Source organism: Homo sapiens, chromosome 9, assembly GCF_000001405.40.
Source record: "Homo sapiens chromosome 9, GRCh38.p14 Primary Assembly".
NCBI lineage: Eukaryota > Metazoa > Chordata > Mammalia > Primates > Hominidae > Homo > Homo sapiens.
In genome coordinates, this window is record NC_000009.12 from 41,206,210 (window position 1) to 41,222,071 (window position 15,862).

The 15,862-nt window shown below is 38.8% G+C and overlaps 1 pseudogene; it reads left to right on the plus strand.

Moving 5' to 3' along the window:
- LOC105376057 (protein FRG1B-like) lies at nucleotides 6,502–12,265 on the plus strand (annotated as a pseudogene).

The window sequence follows — 15,862 nt, forward strand, 5'->3', positions numbered from 1 at the left end:
TTCCAGTCTCCCAAATTGCTGGTGAGAAACCAGTTTAATTATTGACTCTTGGGTATGACTACTTCCTGTCTTCTGAGCACAGAAACACATAGGATTTTCACTTTGTTTCCAGTTTTTGTAGGCTGAATTGTGTCCCCTGCCCCACTTTCCACCAAAATTCACTCAGTGAAGCCCTAACCCCCAGTAGTTTAGAATATGACTGTATTTAGACGTGGGGCCTTTAAAGAGGTAATTAAGGTAAAATGAGGTCTAATGGGCAATTCTTAACCTAATATGACTGGTGTCCCTTTAAGAAGAGGAGACGAGGACACAGACAACACTGACCAAGGGAAGACAGTATGAGGACACAACTAGAAGGCAGCCATCTGTGAGCTAAGGAGAGAAGCATCAGGAAAAAACGAAACTGCTGTCACCTCGATCTTAGACTTCTAGCATCCAGAACCATGAGAAAACAAATTTCTGCTGTTCAAGCCACCCAGTCTGTGGTGTTTTGTTACTGCAGCTCTAGCAAACTAATATATCAGTATTTTAAAATCGCACAAATAATGTGCCTTGGGATGGGTCTAACTCCATTCTTTTTTTTTTTTTTTTTCACTCAAGTAGTCTCTTACAATCTGAGAACTCATGTCCTTGGATTTTCTTGAATTATTTTATTGATTATTTCCTTTCTTCTCTTATCTCTGTTGCTCTTTGTGGATCTCCTCTTATTTAGATGTTGGACTTCTTATTTTAGTCCTTTAATTTTTTTCTTTTTCTTTTCTAACTCATTTTCTATATTTTTGCTTTGCTTACTGGGAGATTGGCTCAAATTTATCATCCAAACTTTCTCTGAATTTTTTATTCTACTATTATTTATTGTTCAAATTTCCCAGAGCTCCCTTTTTGTTTCTTGAATGTCCCTTTCTGAAATAGCATAAGACTGGTTCGTGGGTGCAATACAATATCTCCTCTTACACCTCTGTGGATATTTTTTAAAGTTGTGAATCAATTGAAACTTTTTACTTTTTACTTTTATTGGTACATAATAGGTATTTATATTTATGGGGAACATAAGATTTTTTTTTTTTTTTTTGAGACGGAGTTGTGCTCTTGTTGCCCAGGCTGGAGTGCAATGGTGCGGTCTCGGCTCACTGCAACCTCCGCCTCCCAGGTTCAAGTGATTCTCCTGCCTCAGCCTCCCGAGTAGCTTGGATTACAGGAATGAGCCACCATGCCCAGCTAACTTTGTATTTTTAGTAGAGACGGGTTTCTCCATGTTAGTCAGGCTGGTCTCAAACTCCCGACCTCAGGTGATCTGCCCACCTCAGCCTCCCAAAGTGCTGGGATTACAGGCATGAGCCATGTGCCCGGCAGGTATTTTAATGCAAGTATACAATGTGTGATAACCAAATCCAGGTAAATGGTATATCCGTTGCCTCAAGCATTTATCCTTTTTTTGTGTAACTAACATGCCAATTATACTCTTTTAGTTACTTTAAATGTACGGTAAATTATTGTTGACTGTAGTCACCCTGTTGTGCTAGCAACTATTAGATTTATTCATTCTATCTAACTATATTTTTGTACTCATTAACCACCCACCTCCCACCACAACTACCCTTCCAGCCTCTGGTAACCATCATCCTACTCTATCTCCCTGAGTTCAACTGTTTTCATTTTTGGGTCCCACAAATGAGTGAGAACATGTGAAATTTGCTTTTTTGGGCCTGGCTTATTTCACTTAACATAAGGTCCTCCAGTTCCAACCATGTTGTTGCAAATGACATTTCTCATTCTTTTTTATGGCTGAATAGTACTCCATTGTGTATATGTACCACATTTTAAAAAAATCTATTCATCTGTTGATGGACACTTAAGTTGCTTCCAAATCTTGGCTATTATGAATAGTGCTACAGTAAACATGAGAGTGCAGATATCTTTTCAATATACTGATTTCCTTTCTTTGGGGTATATATCTAGCAGTGGGATTGTTGAATTATATGATGGTTCTATTTTTAGTCTTTAGAGGAACCTCCATACTGTTCTCCATAGTGGCTGTACTACGCTCTGTGGATATTAATAATAGTTTTCTTCTCCCAGCATAGTCTTGGTTAGTTCCAAATTATTTTCTTTGTTTGTTTGTTTGCTTTGGTCTCTACCTTTCATGCTGGTAGTTCCCCTTAGATGTCTGATAATCTTTGGTAGTCTATTCAAATTTAGGAGTGAGGTACTAAAAGACCTTATTGGAAGTTCTGATTCCATGAATGAAACTTCTTGTCCACCAGCTTCAACTGGGTCATCTGGCTGGGCCATTTAGTTGGGTCATTCTCGACATCAGCATCTTTATGTCTTTCCTCTGGAAGTGGTCAGATACCCCAGAGAATAATTTTCTAATCTCTAGTGGTCTGGAATTAGAATGGGGTAAAAGACATGGGGTTCTGTTAGGTTATAAATGTTCCCATAAATTTTCACTACCCCTTCATTTATATTACTGAACTCCATCCCCAAATGTGCCAAATGTTCTCCAGGAAGTAACTTTCTCTATTTACCTTTTCCAGCCTCTGCCAGGCTGGGAGAGGGACCATTATCTGGCTATACAGGTTTGAAGAGAGGATGTAGGGATCTAACAACTTCTTATACAGACTTATAACCCAATCCTCCTATTTTTGACCCTACCTTTATCCCCATTTTCAGTGGTATCTGGACATTTGGAAGCTGTTTGGGAGGTCTATGATGTAGTCAGGTACTTCTGAGTTTTCTCCAAGACAAATTTAGGGATCATCTTTCTCAGGTGTGTTACCTCTTGTCTATATGGCTTCTGAATTCCACAACCTTGTTGTTCTTGTCTTCCTTTCTAATTTCATCATCATTGTGGGTTTCTGCCTTAAAAAAATAATCCCTTTACTGTCATTTTATTAGGTTTCAGAAGAAAGCCAAAGTAAGTGCATTTCTGTAATTGATCACCTCTACTCAGTAGTCTATTTTGCATTTTTACAAGGAAATGACAAGTTTACTCAGGAGTGTTTGAAGACAAACAGGCCTGCTTTATAATTTTGCTACTGGCCATCCCTACCTTCAGTGCACTTGGTCAACAATTACGTCCACAAAACAGAAATTACAACTCTGACTCGTGCTTTTATCTGAGGAACCACAAGTCATTCACTTTTATGGTTCACTTGTCAACTGTAAGGGAAACTCTAACTGCTAATAACTTTAACTATATAGCCAAAAGGATCTTGTAAAACTCTTCCTATCTTCCTAGCTTTAGTCTTTGCATATAGTTCAAGGTTACGACTAACACTCCACGACACCTGATTTTCTTCTGAAATACCAAAACCTCCCACTTTTGAGTGTTCAGTGTGTGCTAGAGACTGGGATAGGTGCATTTACATGGATGATCCCATTTAATCCTCCCCAAAACTTACAGTGTCTGGGCCAGGTGCGGTGGCTCACACCTGTAATCCCAGCACTTTGGGAGGCCAAGGCAGGCGGATCATCTGAGATCAGGAGTTCGAGACCAGCCTGGCCAATATGGTGAAACCCCGTCTCTACAAAAAATACAAAAATTAGCCAGGCATGGTGGCGTGCGCCTGTAGTCCCAGCTACTCTGGAAGCTGAGGCAGGAGAATCGCTTGAACCCAGGAGGCAGAGGTTGCAGTGAGCCAAGATTGAGGCACTGCACTCCAGCCTGGGCAACAGAGCAAGACTCCGTCTCAAAACAACAACAACAACAACAAAACCCTTATAGTGTCCATGTTATTATCTGTATTTTACAAAGAGGAAAATTGAGGCTCTGAAAAGTTAAAGGATTTGTTCAACTTAACACGTCTATTAAGTGGTGAAACTAGGGTTTGAATCCAAGTCAGCCTTACTCCCAACCACTTTCCACTTCATTATGTTGTCTTATTGATGACTTCCTGCCAGGACTTCCCAAGTGTTCATTTTCATGTCTGCAGCTCATTTAATTACTTTTAGTTCCTTTTTCATTTTCCAATCCAGTCATCTATACTATTACCCTATGTCAGTGAATGACATCCAGTTGGTTCAGTATTTCAAAATTTCTGGCCCACCTTCTCTTCTCATCTGTATCTGGTTACCTTTTTATCCACCTTATATATCATTTCCTAGGAAAGATTCCATGACCTCCCAAGGATTGACTTTGTACTTTTCATGTGCTTTTACAGCACAAACAGAATCCTCTTTGCCCTATCAAAGTAGTAATTACCAGGTATAGAAATTATCTGTTTGCTTATTTACTCCCCAACTACACTAGGCTCCTAAGGACTGTGGCAATATTCATCTTATTTATGAGTCATATCTACAGCCTAGCACAGTGCCTGGCACATAGCAGGTGCTCACTACATATTTTGTTGAATGAATGCATAAATGAATGAGGTTACACACATACCTCTATGACATAGTTTGGATATTAGTTCCCTCCAAATATCATGTTGAAATTTCATCCCTAATGTGGGAGGTGGGGCCTAGTTGGAGGTGTTTGGGTCAGGGGGGCAGATCCCTCATGAGTTGCTTGGTGTCATTATGTTAGGATTGAGTGAATTCTCACTCTTAGTTCCTGTGGGATCTGGCTGCCTAAAAGAGCATGGCACTCCTCCCCTCTCTCTTGCTCCCTCCCTTGCCATGTGACATGCCTGCTCTCTCTTGGCCTCCCCCCATGGTTAGAAACTTCATGAGGTCCTCACCAGAAGCAGATGCTGGTGCCATGCTTCTTGCAGAGCCTGAAGAACCGTGAGTCAAATAAATGTCTTATTTTATTAAATTACCCAGCCTCAGATATTCCTTTATAACAATGCAAAATGGATTAAGACACTCGTATTTATTAGTCCATTCTCACAGTGCTTGGCTATTCATAAACGAAAGAGATTTAATTGACTCATAGTTCGGGGAGGCCTCAGGAAACTTACAATCATGGCGGAACGGGAAGCAAACACATCCTTCTTCACATGGCAGCAGCAAGGAGAGGTGCTGAGCAAAAGGGGGAAAAGTCCTGGATAAAACCATCAGATCTCATGAGAACTCACTCACTATCATGAGAATAGCAGCATGGGCTAACCGCCCCCATGATTCAATTACCCCCCACTGGGTAACATGTGGGGATTATGGGAACTACAATTCAAGATGAGATTTGGGGGGGACACAGCCAAACCATATCACACTCTGTCTGAATTATTAATAAAATATTTTCTAATCTAAAGTAATGTTCCAATGATATTTTAGCATTTGACACTAAGTTTCAAAAATTTAAATTTAAATGAAAGAGGGTCTTAAATCTCTGTTGCAAAAAGGACTCAGCTGAATAATCTGTGGCACAGGTTTAAATCGCCTTGGACCACACCGCCATGTTCCAGGGCTCACCAGGAGCCATCGAGATGAGAGACCACCCAGCCCTTGTGACTTGACTAAGAAATTAAATCCATATTATCAGCACGTTTTTAACTGGATGTGATATAAGGTTAACATATTTTGTAATCATTGTATTTATAAATATTTTGTCTAAATGTTATTGTATTCCAAGTTTTCCAAAAGAATCAACCAAATACAAGTTATAAATAAACACTATATTTGTTACGGGAGTTAAGCTAACCACATTTATAACCCAGATTTAGATACACAAGAAAATCAGTTTTTAAAGTTTTGTTTAATAGAAAGCAGTGTAATACATCAAACATTAAACAACGAAAAATGTGTATGAATATTTATTTATTTATTTATTATTTTTTTTTTAAGCAGAGTCTGGCTCTGTCGCCCAGGCTGGAGTGCAGTGGCACGATCTTGGCTCACTGCAAGCTCTGCCTCCCTGGTTCATGCCATTCTCTTGCCTCAGCCTCCCGAGTAGCTGGGACTACAGGTGCCCGCCACCACACCCGGCTAATTTTTTGTATTTTTAGTAGAGACGGGGTTTCACCATGTTAGCCAGGATGGTCTCGATCTCCTGACCTCGTGATCCACCCGCCTCGGCCTCCCAAAGTGCTAGGATTACAGGCGTGAGCCACCGCGCCCGGCCATGAATATTTATTTTCACACACAAAAGTCCCTCAGACATTGATTCTTAAATTCAAAACACCAAAGGCATTGTATATGCCTTTTCATGTTTTCTAATTGTGAGGAAAATAAATTTTACTTAAAATGCTAATATTTGAATAAAGTATGCATTCATAATTATGTTCTTGTCTTTAAAGTTAATTTTTCAAACAGAACTAAATCAGTTTTATCTTCAGTAGATCTTTTAGAAAGGAAGCAATCCTACCTCATCTAATTAGAGTTTAGTCCTACTAGGAAGATACACTACAAATATTTATTGTGGCAATCTTTGAATAGCAAAATGAAAGGTGATTTTGGTTTCCTTTTCTATATGTTCTTGTATTATATTTTTCAGGTTTTTCTCTAAGTTCTTTTCTGTGATTTTTAAATCAGGGAGGAAAAATTCATTCAGTCTAAACACTTAATATTTCTTCTACAAGAAGTATCCTCATGGCTATTTTGTTATTTCGTTTCACTTAGGGGAAAATGGATTTGTTGGCCTCAAATAGCTGCTTTATTAGATGCAATGAAGCAGGGGACATAGAAGCAAAAAGTAAAACAGCAGGAGAAGAAGAAATGATGAAGGTAATGATGACATTTTATACAGATGACTGCATTCACACATGCGATGTGACTGTATCTCTTTAAAATGTTAAGTCATCATTTACTGTCACTTTGAAGATTTACTTAATAGCTTTTTATAATGTGGTGTTTCAAATAGACTCATTTTTAATTACAAATCGCATAGTTGATGGCTTGTTTATACAATGTGGTAGAGAAATCAGTGCATCTAGGAGCTACCTTGCCATTATCTCCATGGATTAGTATCTTTTACTGGTAGTTCCACATGCTCTTTTTATGCTTTCATTTTCTTGTTTTCTTGCTTGTATTTTAAAATCTAATTTTTAAAATAGATAACATGTACACATGGTCCAACATTTTTAAATAAAAGCATACGAAGATGAAGACATATGCCTGCCATGCATCTTGCTCACCTGTGTCCCAGCTCCTGTTCCTCTTTCCCTTTGTTTTGTTTTTTTATAGCCTCCTAAAATTTCTTTATAAACATATGAATATATTTATAATTTTCAACTGTCTTACACTAAAGGCAGCCTCCTCTATAGTTTTCTCGACTTTGATTTTTTTTTCTTTAAAATTGTATCTTGGAGAGTTTTCTACTATTAGTTTGAATGTAGAAAGCTTTCTCTTTTTCTTGCTTCTCCTCTCTTTCTCTCTCTCTCTTTTTTAACGCCACATAATATTCCATTTTAGGGATGTACCTTTATTTATTTAGTCTTTTATAGATGGAAATTTAGGCTGTTTCCAGTCTTTTGCTCTTATAAACAGTGCTGCAGTACATAACATTGAATATGCATCAATTTGTAGATGTGCGGGTGGACCTGAAGATAAATTTCAAGAAGCAGAATTACCAGGTCGGGGTATACGCATTTGTATTTATGTAATGCTTGAGCTTCTGTGATGATAATCACTCTATGAAACATAAAAAATCATAGCAGAACTTCTGGGGCCTTAGCCCTTACATTTAAAAAATATTTTTAGTAATAGTACCCATCTTCTTTGCATTAGGAGAAACATGAATCACATAAAACATGATTTTTATTTTATTTTTAAAATTTGTGTGCGTCACTAAGCTGGAAATAAAAGTTCCTTATTCCAGGCTAAATTCCCTCATCCGTAGTCAGACGCGTTATCCATTACACCAGTGGCCTGTGCCCTCCCTAATCCTACTCTTTGTTTTACATCATTGTAAAAGTTACACAGACATCTTCATATCAAGGTGAAATTCTAAATAATACTGTTAATATAACCTAGATAAATCAGGTAGTTAACTGGAATTTGATGAAAACATTTAAGGCTTAATTTTTTAGACTCACAAAAGCCACTGATCTTTAATGATAAACATATATCAGGATGTGTCTAAAGAATAACTCCCCCCTTCTTGACACATGGCTTTTCTGTGTCTTGGCATTCCATCGCAGTACTGAGCATCCTGAACCTTGCTTTGTTTGTCTCTTTTGGGAATCACAGGTTGCATCCAGTCTGACCCAGATTTACTCTGTCAGGCATTGTGGGGGCCAGAGTGGAAGGCTCTAAGAGAGGGGGCAAATGCCTTTTCTAAAACGGCCTTTGTTCTTATAATCAGAGCATAAAAATTTATGTTACATTTTTCTCTACTACCAGTGTAATTTAAAAGCATCTATCAATTCTCTGTATGTGCTTCATGTTAGATTTCCGGTCATATGTTTGATTTTCTTTTTAGAATAGTCTTGATTTCAGATAATTTCAAATCTAAAGCTCAAACAATTTCAATCTAAAATGTAGGTATTTTCTTACAGTTAGAGAAGTGAAGTGTTATATTTTTTCGTTGCATGCATCCGGCACATGCGTTGCAGTCTTGAATTTCCATAATGCTCCTGTGAGGTGGATGTGAGCTCAGCCTTACAGACAGTAAGACAGCCTCTGACCCTCCTTACATCCTCGTGGTTTTTGTCAGTCAGTTCATGGAAATCACAGTGATTTCAAGGTGTGGCAAGACAGGATGTGTACCCAGGCCCAGCTGACTCCAGAGGCCAGTCTCAGTATTTCATAGCACATTGCTTCTCAGGAAACAGGTCATGGAGGAAATGCAGATGGGTTTGTGACTTACATTTAATTTAATTTATTTATATTTTATTGTATCATGTTTAAATTATTTTTCATCTGGATATCATCACAAAAGTGTTATTGAAGGCAACAATTGCAAATATATGTGCAGTGCTTTGCACTTATACAAAGATACAAAGATACTTACACAAAGATTGCATTTTTCACTATTTAAAGCAATTTTCAGATGAAATACAAAGTTTTCTGGGTCTCTTTGGTTAGTCAAGTACTTGGAAGCTCTGAACAGTGATTATTTAGGACTCTTTTCGTACCATTTAATTGCAGGCTCTCCTAATCTCTGTCAGCCCTTCACCTTTATGACCTTGCCTTATCTACCAGAACACAGATCCCTCTTACTAAAGGTAGCATTGTGCTACAGGCTCTAGCAGGGAATGTTTTCAGGTCTGGGACCCCTCTAATCAAAACTGTCACAAAGATGTCATTGGCACAAACACGTTATTTGTCATCACTTTCTAAGCAGCCCTGGAACTAGACTCTGGCCACAGAGATCCCTTAGGAGACATGAGTCCTTACCATTGCCAATTACCTGTTCTGTGGGCGATCCTAATTGTTGAATGCAGATCAATTAACTTATGACATGTGATAGTAAACATCTATCCAAACTTAGGAGGATATAAGAAGCTAGTAAAAGAGGTGGGTTCCAATTAATTAAAAACAAGTTGTGTAATGTTAAAAGTTTTAATACTTTGGTAATAGTCTGTGCAATCTAAAATAGCTATTAAGCTTTCAATCTGATCAAATGAACACTTGTCTACTAGGGATAATTTGATCCTAGTGTATTGACTTGGAGGACAAAATTAAATTAGTTAATGATTGCTTTACTGCCTAACAGATCTGATGTGTAAAATGTTTCTGAAATAATTTTGTCTGTAGTGTTTCTGACACAAGGGCTGTGGAGGAAGCATGTGATAGCACTTACTCATATAGATTATATATATGAAGTAAAAACACATAGCCAGAACCTGTCTTTTTCTGAATATAGTTGCTCAGTTAATTTTTTCTTCTGCATAAGAAATCATCTCGAATGTTCTTATGTGATACGTAAAGTGGGGAAGGTGGAAGATAAACATATAACCCATTGGATTCTCTTTTCCAATATCTAGATTAGATCCTGTGCTGAAAGAGAAACCAAGAAAAAAGATGACATTCCAGAAGAAGACAAAGGAAATGTAAAACAATGTGAAATCAATTATGTGTATGTATGCTTTTCCTTTTAGACCTACAGATTTGACAGTGAAGTGCTTCTCAAAGTGCTTTCAAAATAAATTACCTAATTAGCTGGGGATGGTGGTGCATGCATGTAGGCCCAGCTACTCGGGAGGCTGAGACAGGAGGATTGTTTGAGCCCAGGAGTTCAAGGCTGCAGTGAGCTCTGATCACCACTGCATTCCAGCCTGGGTGACAGAGCAAGACCCCGTCTGAAAAAATGAAAACTGATGGACAAGAAGAGGCAACACAATGTAGCCTCTGGGACAGAGCACTGAGCTAAATGCTTTTCTTTTCTTGAGGGTTCAGTTTTCCTAATCATCCTACCAGCTCCCAAAACTAGTCAGTCGGGTTAGTCAATCTCTCTATTCATTCATACAATGGGAGTGATGCCAGTCAAAGGCTGTGCTATGGCCAGGACACAGGGGACTCCAGCCAGCATGCCCTAATAGAAATGGGGCCTTGTGCTACCCAGTCAATGAGTGGCCCTCCTCTTGAGAGGTCACCTTTGTTGTTCAAAAGCTCCAGCTTATTTAAAAAAATATAATTAGACTTTTTTTTTCTCCCCCAAGACGGAGTCTCGCTCTGTCCCCCAGACTGGAGTGCAGTGCCATGATCTCGGCTCATCGCAACCTCCACCTCCCAGGTTCATGTGATTCTCCTGCCTCAGCCTCCCGAGTAGCTGGGACTACAGGCACACGCCACTACGCTCGGCTAATTTTTGTATTTTTAGTAGAGACGGGGTTTCACCATGTTGGCCAGGCTGTTCTCGAACTCCTGACCTCGAGTGATCTGCCTGCCTTGGCCTCCCAAAGTGCTGGGATTGCAGGCATGAGCCACTGCGCCTGGCCTACAATTAGACTTTTTTAATAAGTGAAAAAGAAATTAACAGTATTTATAAATTTAATAGTAAATATGTATAATCAGAGTTTGAGGTTTTTTCAATGAAGGCATTTTCTTTGCAGAAAGAAATTTCAGAGCTTCCAAGACCACAAACTTAAAATAAGTCAAGAAGCAGTAAAATTCTTAAAAAGACGCAGAAAGATGGATTTTTGCATGAGACGCTTCTGGACAGGTAGCTATTTATGTACTTATTTCCACTATTTTCAGTAGCCAATAGAAATGGCATATAGAAAACCTACATTCTCTTAAATTACTGTAGTTTTCACATTTTTGTCTTTATTTCTAATTTATGAGTGTGGCAATATTACCTAGAGAGGACATCATGAGTTTGGGAAAAGACTTTCAAGAAAGAATATCTAAAAATTATAACCGATTCTAAACATATACTTTAAGAAATTCAGGTTTGACTGTATCTACTTCATAAATTTATCATTATCTTTTTATAACTATTAGAACCAGAGTTAGAAAGAAGCAGTTTGACTAATATAAAAATTATGTGGATTCTGTTAGAGTAGTTCAGGTTCCTTAAAATAAGCATAGATCAACTAAAAAACTAAGTATAAAAGCTAAACAAGTGAAATTGAAGCAGTTTTACTGTAAGATTTGGAAGAGTGCAGGATGTTTATCATAGCACATTATTAATATTTATTACTATTCCTATGTAGATAAGTGATGTCCTAGATTTACAACATAGAAAAACAGGTAGAGACGTTTAGCTGTGAGTGTACAAGTATAAATCAATTAAGTGCCAGATTTTGATAATCACCAGCCGCTCATTCAAGTCCTATGTTGGAAAGTTACTCTTACCCTTTTTTTACATTACTTGATAAAGTCAATGTTTAATTACGTATTTCCTGTTAACTAGCTGGTAGAGTTCATACCTAAAGTCAGTAAATAACGTTAAGAACTTTTTCCAGCTGAGCAAATGAGTATGTATCTAGTTGTAAGAAATCAAGAAGAGGATATAAAATATAATCAGGATGTGGAGTCTAAAACGGAATAAGCTCTATGTCCTGTAACTTTTTTCACTTGTAATAATACAGTGTTCTCACCCTGTTAAATGGAAATTTAGAGCACCCTTAAATTCCAGAATAATTAAAATTGCTATTTGGATTGAAAAAGCCCTTAGGCAACATTTATTGAATATTAGGAAATAACTTTTATAAGATTAGAATCCATTTTTTATAGAAACCAAATTTAAAAGTATACATATTTTAATATAAGTGTTGTGGTAATACACTAACCAAAATTGAACACACAGTTTTAAAGCTTTTTATATTTAGTAGCAGTTGAATATATATGACATGTTTTACATAGATTAATTTTACTATTTTTCTTTATTTAAACAAGAGAACCAAATTGAAAGCTGACAGATACTGCAAATGACTGGGATTTTTGTTTCTGCCTTATCTTTTTGTGTTTTTTTTCTGAATAAAATATTCAGAGGAAATGCTTTTACAGAGTTCTTGAGTTGTTGTGAACTTATTGTTTAGCTAGTAGCTAGTTTAACCAGGATTAAACAAGTTTAATCAGGATTCTTCATGGATGTACTTTTTAGCTAACTACAGTTTTTCACATGGAAATGAAACTTACAGTAAACACTTAACGTACCACAGAATTTTTTTCTGGATTTCTGGTCCTGAAGCATGAAGTGTACTAGAAACCAATTCTTCCTGCGCTACTTGTGGAATCTTTCTTACTGGATCATAATCTTACTTTACTTTATACAATAGATGCTTAATCAGTGCCTTTAATAGGAAGTTAGAAACTCCCAATCCAATCAACAAGGCTTTGATTCTACCTCCTAAGTACTACCCAGATCACAGACAATCCAAATATCAGAACTAGGGGGCTGGGCAGAGAGGACAAATCATCTATTAGGGAGTGGGACAGAAAGTGGAAACATTACAAAGGAGCAAGTAGGCTCAGAACAGAGGGGAGAGTAATACTGGGGAAACTCCCTACTGAGGACAGGTTTGCCACAGTGGATATGTATGTGATGCTTTTGTCCTCATGGGCTGGAATGGAAGCTGATAAAGAAGTTCAGACGCTACGTGTTGCTTAGGTCTGCTTTGTTGAAGCATGTCTCTTTCAGAGTTCCTAAACACAATATTCCCGTGGCATCTAATCCCAGTGAGTGCTCCAAATCCAGGCTGTGTATCAGATGCCACGGGAAATTCTGCCTCAGGACTGAGGTTGGTTCAAGCATCTGGATGACGTCAAAAGTCCACGTTGTGTGCTGGCCTAACCTGAAAGACCCTATCTAGTTCTAGCCTTTAAATTCCTTCTGTCACCAAATCTAGAGTTACATGGCATCTGTACAAGCTAGGTAGCTGAGGCATGGGATCAGCTCTATAAAGGAGCTTTTGGAGCTTTTGTTGTAGGTCTAGCTCCAACTTGGCACTCCAGTTCCAATAGCTGGACTTTCTCTCATCGTGTGTTCTGATCCTTGGATTGGGAACAAAGTAACCACTCTGATCTCACAAAGCAGTGGTTCCAGTTCCCAACTGGTGACTATTTTGCCTCCCAGGGGACATTTTCGTTTTCACAACTGGAATACGGTCTTAGAGAGTAGAGGCTAGGGATGCTGCGAAGCATGTGGCAGAATCCTGTTCCGCCCAGAATGCTAACAGTGCCAAGGTTATGGAGCCTTCCCACCCGAGGGCTTGGTCTATTCCTTGCTTTTGCCAGCTCCCTAACCCTTAAACACAACAGTTCAAATCTATATGCATAAGCATCTCCTAGGGACCTGCACGTTTCCAATATCGACTACTGAGACCCATCCGTAGAGATGCAGGCTTAGGAGGTCTAGGATTGGGCTCAAAATTTGCATTTTAACAAGTACTCCAGGTCATTCTGAAGCAAGTGATACAAACCACAGAATGAGGAACACCGCCTTCAAGAGACTGAATCTTGCTTCCCAACACTAGCTTGGTATCTGAGACCATCTGCGTGCTGACTGGCTTTCCTGGCACAAACATTCTGCATGTAGGCACAGTGTGTTCCTGGACTCCACGTCAACCCTCATGTTCCCTTGGTTCCTGTCCCCAGTCCAGCAAGCAGAACTGATTATAGATCTTGACAACAGAAGATACAGATTTAAAATAACTTGCCTGTTCCCGTGGACTTTATCCACTAGTGAAGGAGGACAAGTGGACAAGGGGAGAGGGTAGGTGGGGGCTCCTTCCCTATTCCTCCCATTCCACTTTATACAAACCCCAGCTAGACCACTGGGAGAGCAACGGGGGTTAAGAATGACTCCATCTAAATATTGTCATCTGGTCCACTCTTCTTCCATCTTGTACACAAGGATATCATGAGTTTTGTTTAAATTACTGGGAATTTCGTCTGCTCAGTGTTTGTTTTGTCTGCAGCCATTCCCAGAATTCTAGGACAAGACTAGCTTCTTTGCCAACGGGGTGAACAGGAAGGAACCCAAGTAGGAATTGCCTTTTTAAAAAAATACCTTCCCACCCTCTTAATTACGTAATGCATGCATTTTTATAGCTTTTTTGCTTATTCCATTACCTGAGGTCAGCCACTGATATTTAACCCATCCTTAGCCTCGGAGGAGGGCAGAGGAGCACTCGTCATATTGATTTCGCTAGCGGTGACATGATTTCCTCCTGTGCCACTCAAATTTCTCTCCTTCTTTAACTTGATGCTCAGTAGGTTGTGTTTCACTCGTCTTTGCAGATTGTTAGGAAGATGAGAATTAGCTTCCATTTTTGATGTTGCCATAGAGAAGACTCCATGGTAATGTTTATTTGCACAATCAACTTTTTCTTTTCCCCCAGAAATTGCAAATTCTTATGTGAGAGACAGCTTTCCGGAGTCTGCAAGCATAGATTATCGTCTCTCTTTTGATGGTAAATTTCTTATATCCTCACCAACAATAAAATACTTACATATAATTTTGGCATGTCATATTGATTGCCAACTACAAGTAAGAATATTCCTTGATTTTAAATCTAGATTAATTATGAAAATTTGAGTAGCCACAAAAAATTATTGTGTACAAATTTATAGACCTCTTCTTAGGATTAAATGAGTTAATATTAACTAATATTTATTGTGTAGTTAAGGTATGGCAGAAGCTTCCTCTGTACTATTTCATTTTATACTTAAAACAATATTCCATGCAAAATGCTATAATTTCCCTATACCTCCAATTTGCACATGATAAAACTGGGCCTCGTAAAGTTTTCACCCCAGAGTTCTCTGCTTAGTAAGAAGTAGAAGGAAGTCTAAACCTAGGTCATCTGATTTCAGAGCCCATATAGTTAAAATGCTCTAAATGCAGCTTCCCATGGTGATGGTGACTATGAGAGCCTGTCACATATGATGTAGGACCCCAGTGCTTCCCTGTAACATGTGCAAGATTCCCGTGATGACGGTGACTATGAAAGCCTGTCACATACGATGTAGGACCCCAGTGCTTCCCTGTAACATGTGCAAGATTCCCGTGATGACGGTGACTATGAAAGCCTGTCACATACGATGTAGGACAGTGCTTCCCTGTAACATGCGCAAGATTCCCATGATGATGGTGACTATGAGCCTTTCACATATGATGTAGGACAGTGCTTCCTCTGTAACATGCACAAGATTCCCGTGATGATGGTGACTATGAGAGCCTGTCACATATGATGTAGGGCCCCACTGCTTCCTCTGTAACATGCTCAAGATTCCCGTGATGATGGTGACTATGAAAGCCTGTCACATACGATGTAGGACAGTGCTTCCCTGTAACATGCAGAAGATTCCCGTGATGATGGTGACTATGAGAGCCCGTCACATATGATGTAGGACAGTGCTTCCCTGTAACATGTACAAGATGGTGAGTATGAGAGCCTGTCACATATGATGTAGGACAGTGCTTCCTCTGTAATATGCACAAGATTCACCCGTGGATCTTATTAAAATGGAAACTCATAGACCACACTTTGACTAGCGAAGATAGGAGCATTTAAATGGATGTCTTGGTGACAGTGCTAAGATGCTACTGTTCATGTGGGCACTGGCTCACCACATTAACGAAGCTTAG